Source organism: Homo sapiens, chromosome 1, assembly GCF_000001405.40.
Source record: "Homo sapiens chromosome 1, GRCh38.p14 Primary Assembly".
Lineage (NCBI taxonomy): Eukaryota > Metazoa > Chordata > Mammalia > Primates > Hominidae > Homo > Homo sapiens.
The window spans coordinates 92,726,373-92,751,382 of NC_000001.11; the positions used below are offsets into that span (position 1 = coordinate 92,726,373).

The 25,010-nt window shown below is 37.1% G+C and overlaps 1 protein-coding gene and 2 pseudogenes across 25 annotated transcripts in view; 1 reads left to right on the forward strand and 2 right to left on the reverse strand.

Annotated features, from left to right (window-relative positions):
* Positions 1–25,010, reverse strand: part of EVI5 (ecotropic viral integration site 5) — a 283,715-nt gene that overhangs the window by 217,677 nt on the left and 41,028 nt on the right. For 22 of the 25 annotated variants that reach the window (XR_001737401.2, NM_005665.6, NM_001308248.2 and 19 more), the window contains exon 2: positions 10,026–10,255. The exons of 1 other annotated variant lie outside the window; for it this stretch is intronic. Coding sequence is in view for 23 of the 24 variants with exons in the window: in NM_005665.6 (NP_005656.4) it covers positions 10,026–10,255 (230 nt within the window). In the remaining variant the exon portion in view is untranslated. Of the gene's footprint in view, positions 1–10,025; positions 10,256–19,310; positions 19,333–24,652; positions 24,687–25,010 lie in introns of those variants that run through there. 2 more of the 25 variants (XM_017002274.1, XM_017002275.1) reach the window with 2 other exon arrangements.
* Positions 5,646–6,246, forward strand: LOC100289500 (zinc finger AN1-type containing 1 pseudogene; annotated as a pseudogene).
* Positions 22,803–22,958, reverse strand: H3P3 (H3 histone pseudogene 3; annotated as a pseudogene).

The window sequence follows — 25,010 nt, forward strand, 5'->3', positions numbered from 1 at the left end:
GAAAACACAAGAGAGAAATCAATGAAATCGCAACATTAAAATATTTGGAAAATAAAAACTGTCAACCTATTAAATAGAATTCTATAGTCAAAGAAATATATGTAAAAATCAAAGCCAAAATGATGACCTTCTCAAACATACAAACGCTAAATAATTCATCACCAATACCACCAACTACATGAAATGTTAAAGAAAAAGTATTTCAAGAAGGAAATATCAGATGGAAATCTGGATCTAAAGAAAGGACAGAAGAGCATTAGAAATGGTAACTAAATAGGTAAACACATAAAAGTTTTTTCTTATTATTTCAATCTCATTTAAAGATAATTGACTGTTGAGTTAAAAAATAATGTAGTGTAGAGTTTATAACACATATAAAAGTAAAATGCATGACAAAACTGGTACAAAGGACTGGACAGGAGAAATGCAAGTGTGCTATTATAAGGTGCTTACAGTACATGTGAAGTGGTATAACCCTCAAAGTCAGACTGATAAGTTAAAGATTTATATTATAAATCTTAACACAACCACCAAAATAACAGTTATAGCTTATAAATCAATAAATGAACTATAACAAAATCATAAAAATATTCAATAAAGTCAAAGATGGCAGAATTAAAGGAAACAATATAAGACAAGTTTAAATATAACAATATTAATAATCACCTTAAATGTAAATAACCTATTTTCCTCAAAAATCTCAAAAACATTATGTTGTATGAAAGAAGTCGGTTACAAAAGGCCACTTATTGTATCCATCATAATGAAATGTCCAGAATAGGCAAATCCATAGAGACAGAAAATATATTAGTGGTTACCAGGGGCTGGAAGGAAGGTGAATGAGGAGACTAATGGGTACAGAGTTTCTTTTTGGGGTGATGGAAATATTCTGAATGGGAGTTTGGATAGTAGTAATAATGGCACAAATTTGTGAACATATTAAAAACCACTAAACTGTACCCTTTAAAAGTGTGAATTTTAGATCCATCCCTGCTAGATTTGCTCATAAAAGGTTTGGCCATCTGACTTACTTTGGCCAATAAAATTTAAGTAGAAATTATGTATACCACTCCCTAGGGGATGCTTTAAGGTATTTCAACTAGATCTCTTTTCTGTCTGTCATGAGTCTGATTTATCCCAGATAGATGCCGGCTGCGGTCACAGAACAAAGCACAGTAAAGCAAAGATGTATCCAACCTACTAATTGAGATGAATGTAAATGTGAGCAAAAAATAAAACTTTAATTTTTTAAAAAAATAAAATGGCTTAAATAACCCAATTAAAAGACAAAGATTGTCAGATTGTATTTTTAAAAGCAAAACCCAACTAAATGCTACTAACAGACAAACTCCAAAGATTTTTTCTAGGTATGATGGCTCACACATGTAATCCAAACATTTTAGGAGGCTGAGGTGAGAGGATTGCTTGAATCCGGGAGTTCAAGAACAGCCTGGGCAACATAGTGGGACCCCATCTCTTAAAAAAATAATAAAATTTTGTAGTCCCAGCTACTTGGGAGGCTGAGATGGAAGAACTGCTTGAGTCTGGGAGATGAAGGCTGCAGTGAGCCATGATCATACCATTGCACTCCAGCCTGGGTGACAGAGTGCGACCCTGTCTCAAAAAAAAAAAAGTTAAAGATAAACAAAAAAAAATAGAATACAAGCAAAAGGCTGGGAAAATATATAAGATGTTAACACTATTCAAAAGGAAGCTAGAGTGACTATATTAATATAAGATAAAGTAGATTTCCAAGGAAACAACATTACCAAAGATAAAGAAGGTCATTTTACAAGAGGATATAACAATCCTAAATGTTTATATACCTAAAATAGAACTCCAAATTACATGAAAGACAGAATTTAAAAAGAAATAGATAAATCCACAATTATAATTTGAAGTTACTGCTCTTCTCTCAATATCTGATATAACATGTAAACAGAAAGCCAACAAAGATGTACCAATAATAGTCACCCCTTATCCACAGTTTCACTTGCCATGGTTTCTTTTTTTTCTTTTTTTTTTGGAGACAAAGTCTCGCTCTGTCGCCCAGGCTAGAGTGCAGAGTACAGAGGCGCGATCTCTGCTCACTGCAATCTCTGTCTCCTGGGTTCAAACAGTTCTCCTGCCTCACCCTCTGGAGTAGCTGGGATTACAGGCACCCGCCACCATGCCCAGCTAATTGTTGTATTTTTAGTAGAGACAGGGTTTCGCCATGTTGGCCAGGTTGGTCTTGAACTCCTGATCTCAGGTGATCCGCCCACCTTGGCCTCCCAAAGTGCTAAGATTACAGGCATGAGCCACCGGGCCCAGCGAATCATGGTTTCAATTATGCACAATCAACTGTAGTCCAAAAATATTAAACAGAAAGTTCCAGAAGTAAATAATTCAAAAGTTTTAAATTGTGTACCATTCTGAGCAGCACGATGAAATCTCATGCCATGCTACTCCGTCCTGCCTGGGAAGTGAATCATCCCCTTGCCCAGTGTACCCATGCTGTATGTGCTACCAGCTGGCTAATATTTAGTAACCATCTGAGTCAGTTATCAGATATACTATTGCGATATCACAGTGATTGCATTCAACCCACCCTTATTTTACTTAATAACGGCCCCAAACCACAAAAGTAGTGATGCTGGCAATTTGAATATGTCAAAGGGAAGCTGTTAAAGTGCTTCCTTCAAGTGAGAAGGTGAAAGTTCTCTACTTAATAAGGAAACAAACAAAATTGAATGCTGAGGCTGCTAAGATTTATGGTAAGAATAAATCTTCTATCTGTGAAACTGTGAAGGAAAAATAAATTCATACTGATTTTATTCTTGCACTTCAAACTACAAAAGTTATGGTCACAATGTATGATAAATGCTTAATTAAGATGAAAACAGCATTAAATTTGTGAGTAGAAGTCATGAACAGAAATACGTTTCAGTTGATGACAATGAGGTCTGAAACTATCCACAGTTTCAGGTATCTCCTGGGTGTCTTGGAAAGTATCCCGCACACATAAGGGGGGACTACTATATAGCACTAAATGACTTTATTAGAAAAGAAAGGTCACACAGACATTACAAGGTGACAACATATTACCGATAAAGGTCAAGGACTTTTGAAGACAACTTCATATCCATTTCCCTCATGAACACAGATGCAAATACATTCAACTCTCCATATCCTTCAGGGATTGGTTCCCTGATACCAAAGATACCAAAGATACCAAAATGTGTGGGTGGTGACGTCCTTAGATCAAATGGTATAGTATTTGCATATGACCTATGCACATCCTCCTTATATTTTAAATCAGCTCTGGATGACTTTTAGTACCTAATACAATGTAAACATTATATAATAGTTATATGTATTTTTTATTTGTATTATTTTTATTGTTGTATGTTATTTCTTATTTTAAAATGTATTTTCCATCTGTGGTTCTGCAAATGCAGAACTTGTGGATATGGAGCGCAGACTGTATCACAAACAAAATTTTAGCAAATTGAATCCAATACTTTACAAAGAAAAGATATAATGATGAAGTGGGGTTTATCCTAAGAATGTAAAGTCGGTTTAACATTGAAAAATCAATGTAATTTGCCGTATTATCAGACTGAAAGAAGAAAACCATTAATGATCATTTCAGTAGAGGCAAAAAAAGCATTTGACAAAATCCAAAATCTGTTTTACATAAATTCTCAGCAAACAAGAAATAGAAAGAGGTGTCAAGTGCAATAGCTAATGCCGGTAATGCCAGCCTTTGGGAGGCAGAGGCAGGAGGATCACTTGAGCCCAGGAGTTTAAGACCAGCCTGGGCAATATGGCAAAACCCCATCTCTACAAAAAAGTACAAAAGTTAGCCAGGCATGATGGCACGTGCCTGTAATCCCAGGAGGCAGGGCTTGGAGAATCACTTGAGCCCAGGAGAAGGCTACAGCAAGCCCTGATTGTGCCACTGCACTACAGCAGCCTAAGTGACAGAGCAAGACCCCCATCTCTAAAAGAAAGAAAGAAGGAAATGGAGAAAGAAAGAAATGGAAAGCGGCTGGTCACAGTGGTTCACGCCTGTAATCCCAGCACTTTGGGAACCCAAGTCCTTGAAGCCAGGAGTTTGAGATTAATCCAGGCAACGAAGCAAGACCCCGTCTCTACAAAAATATTAAAAAAAAAAATTAACCAAGTGTAGTGGTGCATGCATGTAATTCTAGCTACTCAGGAGGCTGAGGTGGAAGGATCACTTGAGCCCAGGAGACCAAGGCAGCAGCAAGCCATGATTATGCCACTGCATTCCAGCCTTGGTGACAAAGCAAGACCTTCTCTCACAAAAAAAAAAAAAAAAAAAAGGAACTTCCTCAATCTGACAAAGGCCATATCCAAAAAATACAGTTAACATCAAGCTTAATGCTTTCTTCTTAAGATCAGAAAAAGAACAGGTATGTCTGTTCACCACTTCCATTCAAATTTATACAGGAGGTTCCCAGTTAGTAGCAATGGTCAAGAAAATAAATAAAAGGCATCCAGATTGGAAAGAAGCAAAAGTGCTCTTATTCACAGATGATAGGCTCATCTACATAGCAAATCTAATGGAATCTAGACAAAAACCAAAAAAAACTACCAAAACAATAACTGAGTTTAGCAAAGCTGCAGGATACATGAATCAATATAAGAAAAACAATTGTAGAGCCAGGCACAGTGGCTCAGGCCTGTAATCCCAGCACTTTGGGAGGCCGAGGTAGGCAAATCACTTGAGGTCAGGAGCTCGAGACCAGTCTGGCCAACATGGTGAAACCCCATCTCTACTAAAAATACAAAAATTAGCCGTCATAGTGGCACATGCCTATAATCCTAGCTACTCAGGAGGCTGAGGGAGAAGAATTGCTTCAACTCAGGAGGCAGAGGTCACAGTGAGCAGAGATCACACCACTGCACTCCAGCCTGAGTGAGTGAGGCCCCATTTCAAAAAAACAAAAAAAGAAATACAATTGTATTTTCTTTTTAACACAGAAGGTGTTGACAATTGTAGTTCTATATGCCAGCAATGAAAAATTAAAAATGAAGTTTACAAAAACAATACCATTGACAAATAATAATTGAGAAATACATTGTGTTCATGGGGAGGAAGGCAATATTGTTAGAGATTTAATGCAATCCCAACCAAAATTTCAGCAGGCGTTTTTGTAGAAATTAACAACTTGATTGTAAAATTCATTTGGGGATGCCAAGGACCAAAAATAGGCCAAAAAAAGAACAACAGTGGAGGCCTAACACTATCTGATTTCAAGACTCAGTATAAGCCTACAATAATCAAGGCAGTATAGTGCTAGTATTAAGATAGACATGTAGACCAACAGAACAGAATAGAGCCCAGAAATAGACTCATACACATACAGACAACTGATATCTGACAAAAATGCAAAAGTAATTAAGTAAAGAAAGAACAGCCATTTCAATAAATGGTACAGGAATAATTAGATGTCCATATTCAAAAAATGAACTCCAAATGTATCACAGAGCTAAATGTCAAACTTAAAACTATAAAACGTTCAGGAAAAAAATAGGAGAGAAACGGTATAATCTTGGATCACCGAAAGCACAATCCATAAAAGAACAATTTGAAATTGTAACTTAATCAAAATTTAAAATTTCTGTTCTTTAGTGGCACGAGAGAGATGGCACAGTTGAACACTGGGCAGCACTGCCAGATTTTCTTTCATTTGTGTGTGATACTCAGGAATATTTTGCCTTGAATACAAAAGCTGGCGGCAGTCTCATGGTTGTCCTGAGATGACTGTAATCAATGAGAGACTGAAGACATAAACATAAATTTTACCCATGCTCATTCAAGGACCGTGTTGAAAAACTTGTGGCAGTTATACGTCCTTACTGTGAGAATAATTTTTGCCTGAGACACCATCATCAGTCAGATCACAAGTGTGAAAAACTGGAAATCCCAAAGCCTTACATGACTGCCACTCAGTAACTTGTTAAAGACATTGATTCCAAAACAGGAGAGACAGCAAGCAAAGAAGGGAAAGGTGACAAAAAATAGTGAAACAGCTGCAAAGGAATTGCATTGAAATTGAGGATATATGCTGATGGAGATATATCACTGCCACAGGGAGAAACTATTTGCTTTCAAGTTTTCTTACCTAAGGGGAGCAAAGAGAAGGGCAAACCAATGTTCTTTTCCATGGATGAAGCATCAGAAAGGTCACAAACTTTGCCACTTCTCTGGCCAGTCTTAAAGCTTTGACAATAGGCTGGGCACGGTGGCTCACGTCTGTAATCCTGGCACTTTGGGAGGCTGAGGAGGGCGGATCACAAGGTCAGGAGTTTGAGACCAGCCTGGCCAACATAGAGAAACACCGTCACTACTAAAAATACAAAATATTAGCTGGGCGTGGTGGCGGGCACCTGTAATCCTAGCTACTTGGGAGGCTGAGGGAGAAGAATTGCTTGAACCCAGGAGGCAGACATTGCAGTGAGCAGAGATCGCACCACTGCACTCCAGCCTGGGAGACATGTGAGACTCCATCTCAAAAAAAAAAAAAAAAAAAAATTACACTAACAGGCCAGGCACAGTGGCTCACACCTGTAATCCTGACATGTTGGGAGGCCGAGGCAGGAGGATCACTTGAGACCAGGAGTTTGAGACCAGCCTGGGCAATACAGTGAGACCTCGTCTCCATTTTATTTAAAAAAAAAAAAGAAAAAAAAAATTAACAGCTAAGAAATTAAGGTTGTGTCACATTACTTCAGGAGAAGCCTTATCCTTAGAACTTACTTTGGAAACCTGGATTGCTAAATTGGATTGTCCTTTATAAAATGGTGGAAATAAAATCTTGGAGTATCTTAATGATGAATGATAATTTTGTAAAAATGTTGAATCTTACTTGGAATAGTCATTCAAGGATTCGGGCCAGAAATCACAAGGAAAATTCTACATACATGGTTAAGTCAATTTCTTTTACTACAATTTCTTTTTTTAATTCTTAAAAGTTGCTTTTTAACTTATTTCCACTGATGTCGTATTTTACATTATCATCTTTTTTTTTTTTTTAAATGAGACGGACTCTTACTCCATAGCCCAAGCTGGAATGCAGTGGCATGATCTCAGCTAACTGCAACCTCCACCTCCCACGCTCAAGCAATTTCCTGCCTCAGCCTCCCGAGTAGCTGGAACTACAGGCACGCGCCACCACACCCAGCTAATTTTTTTTTTTTTAATTTTAGTAAAGATGAGGTTTCACCATGTTGCCCAAGGTGGTCTCGAACTCCTGAGACTGGGCAATCCGCCCACCTCAGCCTCCCAAAGTACTGGGATTACAGGCGTGAGACACAGCACCCGGTCTACATTATCAGCTTTCTATTAAATTTGAGTGTTTGTGTTTTAACTATGTGCTGATCCTCAATTATTTGCAAATTATTATAATTAATTAGCTTTCATTAGGTTATGCTGCAGTTAACAACAACAAAGGTGCGTTTCCTGTTGAGTACTGTCAGCTGTTGACTGGCTGTAGCACTGCTCCAAGTCATCTTCACTCCAGGATCAAAAGTGAAGCAAAGTCCCTTTTGGGACACTGTCATTCTTTTGGCAGAGGAAGCAAGAGATGAAAGAAACTTCAGTTTTCTCTTACAAGACACATGTACCATATTTGCTTTAAGCAAGTTATATGGCCACGCCTAGCATCATGGGGGCCGGAAAGTATAGCCTCGCTGTCTACCTACATCATGATGTATAAATTGATGTATATACATTAATTGTAGGAACTTACAGATCATATTCATTCAATCTCCTAATTTTTGCATGAAGAATGTTAGGCCTAGGATGAGAGAATGATTTTCTTGGTATCACTTAACTGCATTGGGGCATATTTCTGATAAAGACCCACTTCCAGTAGGATTCATCTTTTTTGTTTGTATGAATGTGTTACAAATGAGAAGAAAGATGGGATAGCTCAACTTCATTACGGTCCGTGTATAAATACCAAAGCAAAACACTTGCCGAAAGTAACTACATTTTACCAACAAATTCAGATAAATGCTCTTGACTGATGTTTTCTATTGACACCCAGAAAATACTACTATAAGCAGAACAGAAACTATTTCTTTTTCTTCTTTTTTTTTTGAGACGGAGTCTCACTCTGTCGCCCAGGCTGCAGTGCAGTGGCATGATCTCCGCTCACTGCAAGCTCCACCTCCAACAGAAAATATTTCTATTTATCCTTTGTCTCTTTTCTATTCTAATTGTCATGGACATGTATAGTGGCTTTAGATTTACTTAAAGGAGTAAACTTGGAATGCTCAAAGATAAATAAAATAAGATAAAACTTCTGCTTTTTGAAAGACACTTTTAAGAGAATGGTAAGCTGCCAGCTGGGGGAAGAATTTGAAAGTCATGTGCTTGATACAAGACTTTTACCCCAAACATATAAAGAACTCTCCAAACATAGTAATAAGAAAGCAAATAATCAAATTTTTTTTTAAAAATCAAAGAATATATACAGATGACAAATAAACACATAAAAAGATGCTCAAAACCAACAGAGAAATGCAAATTAAAACCAGAGATACTAATACCTAATAAAATGGCTTAAACTAAAAAGACTGATCATACCAAGTGTTGACAAGGATGTAGAAGAACTGGTAATTTCATACACTGCTGGCGGGATATCAAAAATACAGGCCCTTTGAAAAACAGTTTGGCAGTTAAACATATACCTACCATATGATCCAGTCATTCCATTCCAAGAGAAATGAAAGCATATATCCATGCAAAGGCTTAAACACAAATGTTTATGGCATTTAATAGCAACAGGTGAGTGAATAAACTGTGCTATTTCCACATGATGGAATACTATAAAAAGGAATCAACTATCAATATGTGCTATAACATGACTTTCAAAATTATGCTGAGTGAAATAATCCATACCAAAAAAACTACATACTGTATGATTCCATTTCTACAAAATTCTAGAAAATGCAAACTACAGTGGCTGCCTGGGGACAGCGACGGGGATAATGGAGATGTTCATTTTCTTGATTTTGGCGACAATTTCACAGGTGTATACATATGTCAGAATGTATCAAATTGTACAGTTTACGCATAGTTGATTACAACAATACATCAAAAAACCTGTTAAAAGTTATTTTTGTTATGATTTTAAGCCAGTAGCATTATATAGCTTGACTGAGCACAAAAGGGTGCTCTTCCATATGTATATAATGTATATATTATATTATGTATTATATATAATTATATGATATATGATATATGTCATATATATATATAATTATATAATTCAACAAAATATATTATATATAACATATATATGATTGAAATATACAATATTATATTATATATAATATAATATAATATAATCATATTAAAATATAATATGATATATGTTATATATAACATATTATAAAGTATATTATATATTTTGTATATTATATATTATTATAATATAATCTATTATAATATATATTATATATATATAAATAAATATATAAAAGAGATGATGCCCTAAAGAGCCTCTGACAATAACATGGTAAGGAAACAAACGGAGTCCGGAATATGCATTCCTAGCAGAGCAGAAAACTATTCTATTTAATACCATTAGGAGAAAAGGATATTTTGCTTTCTATGAATAATTTATGAAAAGATTTTGCACTCTAAACCACAAATCAGATATCTATACTGGATTAAATTATTTTATGCTTTTACCAAAGGAGACTGTTCAGAGAGTTTAAAATTATAAAGTTATAGTTTCATTTACTTTTTAAAAAATTGATAAAATTCAAGAAGGATTTAGGGAATTTGCTATATTAAGAAAACAAATCTCTAAAGCTATTTGAGCCAGAAGAAAATGTTAGTCTCTTTTAAGACCAATCTCCCCCCAAAAAAGATGAACACTTCTGTAAATAACTTTGATAAATAAGAAACCAAAAAATAGAAAAAAAAATTCTAGTGTAAGTAAATATGAATGGCTGGATTTGTATAATTGGAGAGAAAAAAGCTAAGCAACCTCACTCACCTATTCTGTTCTTCCAGTTTAGCCAGGAGTTCTAAGTCGTCTGGACTCAACTGTGATGGGGAAGATGGTGAAAGGGCTGGTGTTGATAGTGTGGTAGATGAGGATGTGGTATGTAATGAAGTAGATGGACTTGCCACCTGACTGGCCATCTGACTGACTGTATGCGATACTGTGTTCTTCACCCATGAGAGAGTAGAGCTCAGCTTTTCTGCAACTTTGTCTGTCGCCACCTAAGGACAAAAATAAAAGTTGCATATACTTTAGTTACACTGTATTCATTACCGAGAACTTAATAATTCTGTTAGGATTTACTTAATAACCATCATCAGAATATTCTCTTTGAGGAAGTAAAGGTAAAACCTGTTTTAGCAACAATACCCTAATATCCAGCTTTTGCAAACTGTTTATTTCAGTTCTGCAGCATGAACAAATCAGAACAGTGTTCCAAACTGAGACCCATCAGGAGTGACAAAAATCAACCAGCATGTTTCAAAAATGAAAAAGAGCAAAAATATCAAATTAAAGATATGCTGTCTAATGAAATTTTTGTTATTTTAAAAATACATCCTACATGTATGTATGTATATGGGTGTATTGAGTGAGGATGTAAAATGTATTCTTGGGGTTTTAGTCAAAAACATATGCAAGTCAAGGAATTAAAACATGTCCATTAGATGATCAGGGAAATCCTGTAACATGACTAACAATTCAACAAAAACTGGGTGTATTTAGCATAAATAAAATGTAGTGAGGCCCTTGATTGATCTCTCTTCAAACCACTAAAGAGTGTTGTTATAGAAGAGGGACTAGCACCCCAGGAACAAAATTATGGTAAATGGCTGGGTTAATAGAATGAGAGGGGTTCAAGGTAGAATTTCTAATAGTTGGCTTATTCAGAAATAGAATGGGATGCCTAGGAAAGAGTAGTACATTCTCTACCAATAGCTACGTTAATGTGGCAATTGTAAAAGCCAAATGTCAAGCGTTGGTTAAGGGTTAAGTTTCTGTTTTAGGTGGCTAACCAGGAAGAAAAAAGCCTTTAAGATTCCTCTCTTTTCTAAGATTCAACGAATTATACATATGCTCACATATTTGTCATAAACCATGCCAACCTCCTAAGCAGATATGTATACAACAAATTCAGCTGAAAAAGAAAATGTACATACTGTTCAAAGCTAACACTGGTTTATATATGGCAATCCATATGAACATATGTACACACACAAAAAAAAATCCTGTCCAGGTCCTGGTAGTAGGTACCACTCTCCTCATTGGTTACCCAAGCATTTCCTCCTGCCCTCAATATATACATGGCTTTTTCTCTGTCTCCACTTCCTCCACTTCAATTTAGCAGGGAAATTCCATGTACGGAAAGGATAAAATGGAAAAGCAATTCTAAGGACATAGTTAAGCCACTTAACCTGAGGATGGAGCATCTAAAAGGACAAAGATTCCATTACAAGTGCTGAATAGGGGCAAGAGTTTTATTAAACTCAAGATGCCTCTCATTTTCTTTCCATTTGCCAATAATTTTCCCCTTTTAGAACTTACTTCCTTTAGAAATGATATTATAGAAAGGATCAGTGGGCTGTTACCGTTGAGAGACGAATCCCAAGAAAGAAAAGTTGAATGGCATAAGAGACCTAAGAAAGAGAAGCATGAGGTGATCGTTTATGCCTGCTTCCAGGCAAAAGAAGTCCTTCCTGTCAACTCATAGATGAAAACAGCTCATCAGGGCAAAAGGCCGTATAGGAACCAAATAATAATTTAGCCAAAACTTTATTTGTGCCACGAAATGACAGAAGCCATAGTAGGCACTAAGATAGCCTACTGTGTGATTTGTTATCCTATCGATCTTAGGATAACAACTATAAACTCAATTGTGAAAATGGCACAAATTCGCATCCCCAAAGCACACTCTAATATTTAAAAAGAGAAAACCTAATGTATAAAATTTACAGAAAAACGGAAGAAAACCTAATGTATAAAATTTATAAAAAAATGGTACACTTTACCAATAATTTCAAATATACTTACAATTTTCAATAATTAATGCTTTACATTTTCATTATATTAAACTCCCCTACTCAGTAAGTTAATTGCTGCAAAAGCAAAAGACACCTATTAATTGCTTTATTAAAAGAAATTTATATCATACCCCTTCTGCACACTGTAGCAACAGGCTTCGATTTAAAGAGTCTGAAATAATCAAAAGCACAATTCTGACATGCTTTAGACCTCACTGAAATGGAATTCAGCCTATAACTACTAAAGACTGAACTTCAAGTTTTAAGTTCTTAAATATAGTTAGAGTATTTAATTGCATCTGCAATTTAATAAAGTTTAATATTCATAGAATCTAGAAATCCCACAGGGCTAAATTATTTTTTCATATATCATCAGGTACTATTTTTCCTTTAATTTTACTTTTCCAAACTTCCACCCTGCCACCTCTGAATCTCTTTTCCTCAACCTAGGGTAAATTGAGGTCACATAAATAAATATAAACAAATCTGACAATGTAAATATGTCACAAAGTTCCTGTCTATCTCATAGAGGTGTTATGCATTTATTTTAAAAAGTGAACATACTGGCCGGGCACGGTGGCTCACACCTGTAATCCCAACACTTTGGGAGGCCAACGCAGGCAGATCACCCTGAGGTCAGGAGTTCGAGACCAGCTTGGCCAACATGACAAAACCCCGTGTCTACTAAAAATACAAAAATTAGCTGGGCATGGTGGCGGGCGCCTGTAATCCCAGCTACTCAGGAGTCTGAGGCAGGAGAATCACTTGAACCCGAGAGGCAGAGGTTGCAATGCACCAAGATCACGCCACTGCTCTCCAGCCTGAGCAACAAAAGCGAAACTCCGTCTCAAAAAAAAAAAAAAAAAAAGCGAACACACTTTGAAAATGCTAAAACCATCATTAAAAAGGCTTAGTAATCACACACAAAAAAGGCCACATATTGTATGATTCCATTTACATAAAAGTTCCAAACAGGCAAATCCAGAAGTAGATCAGTAATTTCCAGGGCCTGGGAAAAGGGATGGAAAATGACTACTAATGGGTACAGGATTTCTTTATGGGGTGATGAAAATAATCTGGGATTGGTCAGTGGTGAAGGTTGCACAACCTTGTGAATATAATAAATGCCACTGAATTATACACTTTAAAAGGAGCAAATTTATGGTATATAAATTATATCTCAATTTTTTAAGTGTAGTAAAAGCGTTACATACTATTACAATAGTTGAATACAATCTCCCATGAGAAACAGACATGATTATATCACTTTATATTTTATTAAAAGGATGCTCTTAACTTCCCTAAAATAGATCTATTTTTAAAGATTCTGATTTTAGATCAAAAAATCATGAGGGAGAAAAGGACATGGCTATGGTTAATTACTTCCTGAATCATACTGTGAAACTGAATCACATTTCTAGAGTATAATATTCCCCCCTGGGTAAAGGGTACTATTGTGGGTAAAGAGGAACTATGAGTATGGGTACCTGTGCCATCACCGAGAGTCAAAAACCCAACAGATCTTTAAATGTCAAAAGTCAAGTTACCTTTAAAAAAAAAAAAAAGGGGCAGTGCGGCAGAACACATTTCATAATGTCAGGACTTCAGCTATATACAGATGTCACAAAGATTCACCAATCATTTTGCAGTTCTATCTTTTTACCCTTCCTTAGAGCCAGGGAATATTTCCTAATACTTTTTCATATCTGTTTACTGAATGAACACATGAGATGATTTTAAAATATAGTTACCATTAGTGTACATACAGCTTGCTTATATAAACATTTCACTATCTATTATCATTTTACAATCTTCCTTCAAAAAGTACAGGAACCAGAGACAAGTAGCTTTTAACACAGAAGCTCAAACACTTTCAAGGGCTATTGAGGACTAAGAGACTTTTCCACCACCACACCACAATGCAAAACTGCTTTATTTTCCGTCTCTTATTAGCTTCTCCAAAGTACCTGCTGTTTATCCCCACCCCTCTAATCTGTGTTACACTCATTTTTATCTCCGCTTTTTCTTTTCTTTTCTGGTTTCTTGTCTCTTGACAATTTTCTTACACTCTTTGATTCTCACAAAACTGGCCATTATGAGGGACTGCCAACCAGACATCTCATGTTCCTTCCTCGAGATGAGTGGACCAAAGACACACAGGTCAAGATTTTGGTTTTATTTTTTATTGGGCTCACTTTTACTATGTCAGATATACATATGTGTGTATGTGTGTGTCTGTATACATGTATGTATAAAATCAACTAATATTTACTGAGTATTCTGTGTAAGTCACTATGCAAAGCATGGAGACTGCTATAATTAAAGATAGTACCTTACCCTGTCATTATTCCTGTATTTCTTATAGTCATATGGAAAAGTATCTAAAATAGTATCCCTATCACTCCCTTCAGTATCTTTGTTAATTGTATGGCAGTCTTAGACTTAGTACTGAAAGCCAGTATAACAGTTTCCACATGGTATGGTTTTTAGGGACTCTGATATGAAATTTTGACCAGCCTTCTGCGCTACCTAAACTCTACGTAGATTCCATGCAACTCCCACTGTATGGTGCCAGAGGTTTGGAAACAAAGTTTCAAAAAGGAGGGGAATATATCCGCAAACACTTTTTCAGCATTTAAATCGCACCAGGTACTGTTGTAAACACTTTATATGTATTAAATCTATTTAATTATTGAAATGCTATAAAGTAGGTATTACTATTTTCCACATTTTACAAGTGAAGAAATGATGACACAAAAATGCTATACAACTTACATAAGGTCACAAAGCTAATAAAAGTCAAACACAGGCAATCTGGTTGGAGATTCCTTGCTCTTAACCACTATCAAGAATGAGCAAGACCAAAGGTTGGCAATGGATGTGGTCACTAATGACTTCAGTGAGTCCATTTCACCAAAAGAAGGCAGAAACCAGATTATAGTAAGTTGAGGAGTATCTGAGAGATACAGAAATAAGAGCTGCAAAATATTCCCATTCCTACCACAATGACCTTTATTTTTGAGATTTCTTGAATCAGACTAATTCCTAAAGCCTGCAGATTCCAAAAGGATAGTCAGGATATTATTACATAACAAACTCTATTTTCGAAAAGGGCCTTCAAACAGACAGTAACTTCATTTGATTTTATTTTAAAAAGAAAAAAAAACTGGTACAATTCAGAAAACTGGGCTGATGGGGTTATTCTTTGTCACTGTGGAGTTAGCTTGTTTTATAATATAAAGGCTGATCTGACAACTCAGTATTTTATTTTTTAGGACTTTTCACATTATTTCATATTAACTCATTTTAGTGCTCATTCATAATTCTATAAAGTAGGTAATGTCTCCATTTTAGAGATAAGAAATCAAAGATTCAGCTCATTTAAAAGACCTCTTAAATCACAATGGATTGAAGACCTAAATAATAGAACTAAAACTATAAAACTTAGAAGAAAACGTAAGGGAAAAACTTCATGACAATGATTTGGCAATGATTCCTTAGACTAACACAAAAAGCACAGGCAACAAAAGGAAAAAAAAGATAAATTGGACTCCATCAAAATTAAAAACTTTTGTGTATCAACAGAGTAAAAATAACCCAGAAAAATGAAAGCAAATATTTGCAAATCATATAGCTGTATGGGTTTAATATCTAGAATATATAAAGAACTCCTACAAATTAATAACACAAAAAAAAACAAATAATCTGATTAAAAGATGAGCAAAGGATTTGAACAGACATTTCCCCAAAGAAGATATATAAATGGCCAATAATCACAGGGGCTTTTGAAAATACGTTCAACATTACTAATTTTTTTAAGAGATGAGGTCTTGCTATATTGCCCAGGCTGGTCTTGAACTCCTGGCCTCAAGCAATCCTCCTGCTTCAGCCTCCTGAGTAGCTGGTACTATAGGCACGAGCCACTGTGCCCAGCTAACATCACCAATCATTAATAAAATGCAAATCAGCCAGGCATGGTAGCTCATGCCTGTAATCCCAGCACTTCGGGAGGCTGAAGCAGGTGGATCACCTGAGGTCAGGAGTTCGAGACCAGCCTGGCCAACATGGAGAAACCCCATCTCTACTAAAAATACAAAAATTAGCTGGGTGTGGTGGCGGGTCCCTGTAATCTCAGCTACTCAGGAGGCTGAGGCAGGAGAATCGCTTGAACGCAGGAGGTGGAGGTTGCAGTGAGCCGAGACAGTGCCATTGCACTCCAGCCTGGGCGACAAGACCAAAACTCTGTCTCACAAAAAAAAAAATTAAATTAAAATTAAATAAAATGCAAATCAAAACCACAATGAGATATCATTTCACACACATTTTGATGGCTATTATCAAAAAGGAAAATAACAAGTGTTGACATTGTTAATGGAAATATAAATGGCACAGCTGCTGTCGAAAACAGTATGGCAGTTCCTCAAAAAATTTAACACAGAATTATAAGATCCAGCAATTCCACTTCTGGGTATTTATCCAAAGAACTGAAACAAGGACTTAGACATTTATATACCCATATTCATAGCAGCATTATTCACAATAGCCAAAAGGGATAAACAACCAAGTGTACATCAATGGATTAATGGATAAACAAAATGTGCTATCTCTATACAATGGACTATTATTCAGCCTTAAAAAGGAAGGAGGGCCAAGCGTGATGGCTCACGCCTGTAATCCCAGCACTTTGGGAGGCTGAGGTGGGCGGATCACCTGAGGTCAGGAGTTCGAGACCAGTTTGGCCAACATGGCAAAACCCCGTGTCTACTAAAAATACAAAAATTAGCTGGGCACGGTGGCGAGCGCCTGTAATCCCAGCTACTTGGGAGGTTGAGGCAAGAGAATCGCTTGAACCCAGGAGGCGGAGGTTGCAGTGCATCAAGATCGTGCCACTGCACTCCAGCCTGGCGACAGAGCAAGACTCCGTCTCAAAAAAAAAAGGGAAGGAAATTCTGACATACCACAACATGAACACACCCTGAGGACATTATACGAAGTGAAAAAAGCCAGCCATAAAATGACAAATATTGTGTGATTCCACTTTTATGAGATAGTCAAATCCACAGAGACAGAAAGTAAAATGGTGGTTGCCATGGGAAGAGGAAATAGGGAGTTATTGATTAGTGGCCACAGAGTTTCTTTGGAAAGATGAAAAAATTATAGAGATGATGGTGATGGTGGTTGTACAACAATATGAATATACTTAATTATAGACTTAAAATGGTTAAAACTGTAAATTTTGTTATGAATACTTTATCACAATGAAATCTGGGGGAAAAAATTACCCCTTTCATTCTTGACATTAGTAATTTGTGTCTTCTCTCTTTTGTTCTTGTTACCCTGGCTAGAGGTCCGTCACTTTCAATGCCTTTTAAAAGAAACAGTTTTTCTTTCATTAATTTTGTAATTGTTTTCCTGTTTTCTATTTCACTGATTTCTACTAATTTTTATTATTTATTTTATTCTGCTTGCTTTAGGTTTATATTGCTCTTCTATCTAGTTCCCTAAAGTAGAAGCTTAATCACTGATTTTTGAATCTTTTTTTCTACTATATGATTCAATATAAATCAAACTCTAAGCACTGCTTTTGCTGCTTTTCATTTTCCTTCAGTTCAAAATATTTTTAGTTTGAGACTTCAACTCATGTGTTACTTAGAAGTGTGTTTTTTAATTCCCAAGTATTTTCAGATTTTCCAAATATCTTTCTAACTATACAACACAAGTTGTATAGATAATTGTTAGTGATCTCTAACTTAATTCCACCGTGGTCTGAGAATACAAGTTAAGATGTGTTTTATGTCCCAGAATGTGGTTAATCTTGGCGAATGTTCCATATGAGTTTGAGAAAAATGTGTTTTTTGCTGTTGTTGGATGAAGCAGTCTATATATATCAATTAAATCCAGTTGATAAATGGTGCTATTCAGCTATAGCCTAACTGATTTTCTGTCTGCTACACTATAAATTACTGAGAGGTGTTGAGGCATCCAACTATAATAGTGAATTTGTCTATTACTCCTTACACTGCTATTGGTTTTTGCCTCACAGACTATTTTGTCTTCTTTGAGAACGGACCCATTTATCATTATGTAATGCCTGTCTTTATCCCTGATAATTCTCCTTCTTAAGTTTGCTTTGTTTGAAATTAATATAATTATGCCAAATATCTCTCTCTCTCTCTCACACACACACACACACACACACACACACACACACACACACACACAGAGGACGGCAGACTTGAAGACAATCTGGTGGTTTCTAGAGTGGCTCTGTTTTTGGAGAAGGGGCATTTCTCTTACATTCTTGAAAATACAACTTTGCATTTAAAAGGATGTTTGCATTTTGAGGTGCTTTATAGAGGAAGAGTTTTTCCAAGCTATGTAGTGAATCACATCATTAAAAGCTGAAGTCCGTAAGTAAAATTTTTTTTATTACAGCAATTCTCAGGCATTATTATACACTGTCAAAAGTAGAAGGTAGAGGAATTTACTTTCCAAACTTGACTAGTCAGGAATCGTTTTTCTCTTTTTTGAGACAGAGTCTTGTCACCCAGGCTGGAGTGCAGTGGTGCAATCATGGCTTGTTGCAGTCTCAACCTCCCAAGCTCAAGCAATCCTCCCACCTCAGCCTCCTGAGTAGCTGGGACCACAGGCACACAACTACCATGCCAGGCTAATTTTTTTTTTTTTTTTTTTTGGTAGAGACAGGGTTTCACCATGTTGCCCAGGCTGGTCTCAAACTCCTGGGGCTCAAGCGATCCACCTGCCTCAGGCTCCAAAAGTGCTGAGATGACAGGCGTGGACCACCCACCCAGCCTTTTTCACTCTTTACTGCAAAACAAATTCTGAGAAATGCTGCTCAGTTGCCAACAGTACTCATTCTTTAAGGTGTTTGTGTGCTCTGTGTCATGTTTCTCTTCACTTCTATGGTACTTCTTGTTTATATTAAATATTGTGACATTCATTAATAATGATAATATTCACTGAGTACTTTCACATACATTATCACCTCATCTCCACAGTGCTATATGTGCCATATTATGCTTACACTGTTATATTATAAACCATTAGATGTACTACTGCCTCTCAGTACCTTAAGAAAGAAAAACAGGCCACATATGGTGGCTCAGGCCTATAATCCCAACACTTTGGGAGGCAGAGGCAGGAGGATCACTTGAGATCAAGAATTCAAGACCAGCCTGGGCAACATAATGAGACCTCATCTCTACAAAAAAAATTAGCTGGGTGTGGTGGCACAGACCTGTAGTAGAGGCACTTGTGAGGCCGAGGTGGAGGATCACTTGAGCCCAGGAGCATAAAGCTGCAGTGAGCCATGATTATGCCACTGCACTCTAGCCTGGGCAACAGAATGAGAGCTTGTCTGAAAAATAAAACAAAAACATTATTTCATATATATTCCTGTAGGTCAAAGACAGACCATTCATTACTCTTCATGAATCTTCTTGATGACCTGAAAACAAAATTGGTGAATAGTGTTAAACTAAACTTGGCCTAAGGATGCCCATGTCCTTGAGTCCTTACATAACAAAGAGCAACCTAACTTAGTTGGCAAACTAACTGAAAGCCTAAGTTGGGTGTACAGTATACTTACGTAATAAATAGCTGAGTCTCAATCAATCACAGCAACCAAGCTTTAGGCAGCCAACATTGAACCCATGTTCTAATAAAGCAAATGCCAAGCTGTAACCAAAAGAGCTGTCTCTTTACCTCGCTTCTGTTTTCTGTCCAAAAATGCTGCTTGACCACATTGCAGGTCAGAGTTCTCTGAACTTATTCTGGTTCTGAAGGCTGTCCGAGTTGTGAATCGTTCTTTGCTCAATTAAACTCTGTTAAATTTAATGTGTCTAAGGCCTTTCCTTTTTACCAGTGAGTACTCAATACTTTCTCAATGACTTTTGATTAATTTTGATTGTTAAATAGCACATTTCAATGAAGGTATCTCCTATTCAAAATTCCCTTTGCAGCTATACACACTAAAAATAACTTTTAAAGTACTGTACTGGCTGGGCACAGTGGCTCACGCCTGAAATCCCAGCACTCTGGGAGGCCGAGGTGGGTGGATCACTTGAGGTCAGGAGCTCGAGATCAGTCTGGCCAACATGGTGAAACCCTGTCTCCACTAAAAATACAAAAATTAGCCGGGTGTAGTGGTGCATGCCTGTAGTCTCACCTACTTGGGAGGCTGAGGTGGGAGGATGACTTGAGCCCAGGAGGCCAAGGCAGAAGGACTGCTTGTGTCCAGCAGTTCAAGATCAGCCTGGGCAATAGAGCGAGACCCTGTCTCTACAAAAAATTAAAAAGAAAATTAGCCAGGCATGGTGGCGTGTGTCTGTGATCCCAGCTACTTGGGATGCTAAGGCGGGAGGATCACTTGAGCCTGAGGTCAAGGCTGCAGTGAACTGTGATCATACCACTGCTCTCCAGCCTGGGCAACAGAGCAAGACTCTGGTTCAAAAAAAAAAAAAAAGTTTTTTTAAAAAAGAAGTATAAGTGAGCAAAACAACCATATATTATTATATATTGTTACCCAATACAAGTAACGGGGGAAAAGCTATAGAATAATTTTTATGACACATTTGTAAAAGTCTGTATTTCCCAAAGATGGCCTATATAGTCCACAGGTTCCACATCCGCAGGTTCTGAACCAACCATGCATCACAAATATTCAAAATATAATAATACAATTAAAAATAATACAGATTTTTTTTAAAACAGTACTGTATAACAACTACTTACACAGCATTTACATTGTATTAGGTATCATAAGTAATCTAGAAATGATTTTAAAGTATACAGGAAGATGTGTGTATATTATATACAAATACTGCACTATTTTATATATGGGATTTAAGCATCCATGGTAGTATGAGGGCAGTGATCTTGGAACCAATCCCCTGCAGATGCAGCAAGAAAACTAATTGTTATCTTAGTTTCCTAGTACTGCTGTTACAAAGTACCACAAACTGGGTGGCTTAAAACAACAGAAATAAGCCGGGTGTGGTGGCTCATGCCTGTAATCCCAGCACTGTGGGAGGCCGAGGTAGGTGGATCACTTGAGATCAGGAGTTTGAGACTAGCCTGGCCAATATGACAAAACTCCGTCTCTACCAAAAATACAAAAATTAGCCGGGAGTGATGTTGGGTGCCTGTAGTCCCAGCTACTTGAGAGGCTGAGACAGGAGAATTGTTTGAACCCGGAAGGCGGAGGTTGCAGTGAGCTGAGATCACGCCACTGCACTCCAGCCTGGGTGACAGAGCCAGACTCCATCTCACCAAAAAAAAAAACAAAAAAAAAAACCACCCAGAAATGTATTGTCTCACAGTTCTGGAGGCTAGAAGTCCAAAACCAAGTTGTCAGCAGGGTCATTCTCCCTCTAAAACTTGTAGGGAGAATCTTCCCTTGCCTCTTCCTAGCTTTGGGTGGTTTGCCAGTAATGACCAGCATTTCTTGGTTTGCAGTTGCAGCACTTCAAGCACTTGGATCTCAGCCTCCATGATCACATGACATTCTCCCCTCCAGTGACTGTATCTTCCCTAATTACATTTACAACAACCCTGTTTCCAAATAAAGTCACATTCTGAGGTACAAGGGTACTGTGATAGCTGGACTTCAACATATCTTTTTGAAGGACACAATCCAATCTGTAACACGGCCACATTTCCTATCTCACATCTTCCCATAGAGTGGTGAAGTCCACATCCCCTCCCCTTGAGCCCAAGCAAAGCTCGCTGACTGCTTCAACCAAAAGTGGGTACCAAAAGTTATTACTGAGCTTAACTCTTGGAATCTGGCTACCATGCTTTCAAGAAGCCCAAACTAGCCCACGCAGAGACCACATGGAGAGTACAGGCATTCTCACTAACAGTCCAGCTGAGGTTCCAGCCTCAACCACCAGGCACAAATGTGAACATACCCCCAACTGATTCTAGGCCCTAAGTGAAGAGTCAGCCCCAGACTCTAAGTCTTCCCAGCTGAGACCAAAGACGTGAAGCAGAGACAAGTCCTCTTCATAATCCTCTGTCTAAATTCCTGACCCACAGAATCTAAGCACATACTAAAATGATTATTTGAAGCCATTAAGTTTCATGGTGGTTTGTTACACCGCTACAGTAACTGGAACAATATCACATTATCCCACAAAACAAAATTAAAATATTTAACAGTGCTTGAAATAAAACCAAGAAACTAAAAGTATAGAGTATCAGTAAAGACAGCATACCAGACTTATTTTTATTTTGGGGAGACAGAGGCTTCAAATAATTGAGAAAAAAACATCTTTTCACTTGTCTATAGTGTGCTATGAGTAGGTACAAGTACACTAAGAAAATATAAATACATATTGGCCAGTCACGGTGGCTCATGGTTGTAATCCCAGCACTCTGGGAGGCCGATGCGGGCAGATCACCTGAGGTCGGGAGTTTGACACCAGCCTGACCAACAGAAGAAACCCCATCTCTACTAAAAATACAAAAATTAGCTGGGCGTGGTGGCGTATATGTGTAATCCCAGCTACTTGGGAGGCTGAGGCAGGAGAATCACTTGAACCTGGGAGGCAGAGGTTGCGGTGAGCCGAGATCGTGCCATTGCACTCTAGCCTGGGCAACAAGAGCGAAACTCTGTCTCAAAAAAAAAAAAAAAAAAAGAAAAAGAAAACCTTCATAGCTACTTTATTCTTAATAGCCAAATAGATAGGAGATAGGACAAATAAATTGTATTATAGTCATGATGATAAGGCTTCTTCACTCCTCCAGTAGAGGGCACACTCTTGCAAGCAGCTTTTGTAGCCAGTTGCTTCCTGGGTGTTTTACCACTGGTGCATCTGCTGGCAGTTAGCTTTGTACCAGCCATGGTATAGAGCTCTCCTTACTTAACCTCCTCCTTCAGCTGGAGCTCCTAATTTTTAACTTCTTAAAAGGCAACCATTCTACAATATGAACATATAAGCCTGGGCATTCAGAAGCTTTTAATATGGATACTCTAGCACATCTTTAATAATATATACAAAGTTCAGTTTCATCTACTATTTAATTTTCCAACAGGAGAGACTGCCTTGAATACCTCTATATCCCCAGTATCAAAGACCTTGTCTATCATAAACCAGATGCTCAATAAATGTCTCTGTGGAATAAAGGGTAATTTCTACATATATATATAGTATCTATAAATATATGTAAATAAATATATACACCTAGTTAAGCAGGAGAGTACTAACTACTGAATATGAGTATTCACTTAATTAGCCAAATCATGCTAACTTCAGACAAGGAAAAACTCCCTCCCCATTTAGAGCACAGAAAGTGTTATAAAATAATGTACTTTGCCAAGCATTCGAAGAGTCACTAAAATGTAGATCCAACCTTATCACACATAATCTACATCCTGCTAAAAGGGGGCCCACAGCCTCAGATTTCCAAATATCCATACTAATTCATGTTCACATAACTGCTCTCTAAGTCTCTTAAAATGCTCAATCAAGCCACCAAAGTTGACACAGATGAAAATAAGCTCACCACTCAAAAATATAACTCACACAAGAGACAAAACTCAATAAATGACAGCTGAGCATAGAATTAGACCCACAAGCACTTCAACTATTGGAATTATCAAATACAGAATATATAACTACTTTTAAAATGCTTAAAGCAATAAAAGAATTTTTTAAATGAGCAAGGAATAGGATACAAACAAAGATCATGCAAATTTTTGAAGTATCCAAGTGGAACTTATAGAAATAAAAAATTTAATAAATGAAATAGGAAAAAAAGGGAGGTGAGATGTGGGGAAGACAGAGGGATAGAGAATTAAACAGACATAAACAGAAAATCAATGAACTAGAAGAGCCGAAGACATTAACTCAGAAGGCAGCACAGATACAAATCAATACTTAAGAGGTTTATTTTAATACAAAACCAAATAAAAAATGGTATTTGCTTTACCAAACTAAGTCATCTTTCATATAACAAGATAATGAATACATGAAAACATAAAAATAAATCAAGAATCAAAACTAAAACTAACACTTTCACGAACACGCTGAAAAACACCACAATCATCACACTACACTATACTCTTTAGACATTTTAGGGGTCACAAACTCCTTTGAGAAATTCATGCACATATGAACAAAATTTTGCAAATAATTTTTGAACTTTCCTATCATCCCCAGATCCAGAAGTAGAATTCCTGACCCTCCTTTGGCTATAATAAATGTCTACCCCGTTGCCTTTTTCCCCTTACTTTTAATTTTTACCACTTACATGAGGTTATGACCAGAAAAAAAAAAGTAATATTTTATCTGTTGACTTCTTCCTGTGAAAAAGGTCAATTAGTTCTTTCCCCATCATCCATATCATCAACCTTGCCCACCATAACATACAAACACTTCATACATTCCATTATCCCTATGTAATTAAAACATATTTTTGGGCCGGGTGCGGTGGCTCACGCCTGTAATCCCAGCACTTTGGGAGGCCGAGGCGGGCGGATCATGAGGTCAGGAGATCGAGACCATCCTGGCTAACACGGTAAAACCCCGTTTCTACTAAAAATACAAAAAATTAGCCAGGCATGGTGGCGGGCACCTGTAGTCCCAGCTACTCAGGAGGCTGAGGCAGGAGAATGGCATGAACCCGGGAGGCAGAGCTGGCAATGAGCCAAGATCGCACCACTGCACTGTAGCCTGAGCGACAGAACAAGACTCCCTCTCAAAAAAAATAAAAATAAATAAAAAACATATTTTTGGTTACACCAATATTCAGTGTATGCATTAACATGACTATGTAACTTTAGTCACAGTTGTTCTATGAGGTATACTGTGATTACTTTTACTTTCTTGGACCAATTTTTTACTTTCCCTGGAGTTAATAAATGTCTAATTGTTTAGCTTTATTTGTACTTATAAATTCACCCCCAATTCATCCAATTATATAAATCTCCTCA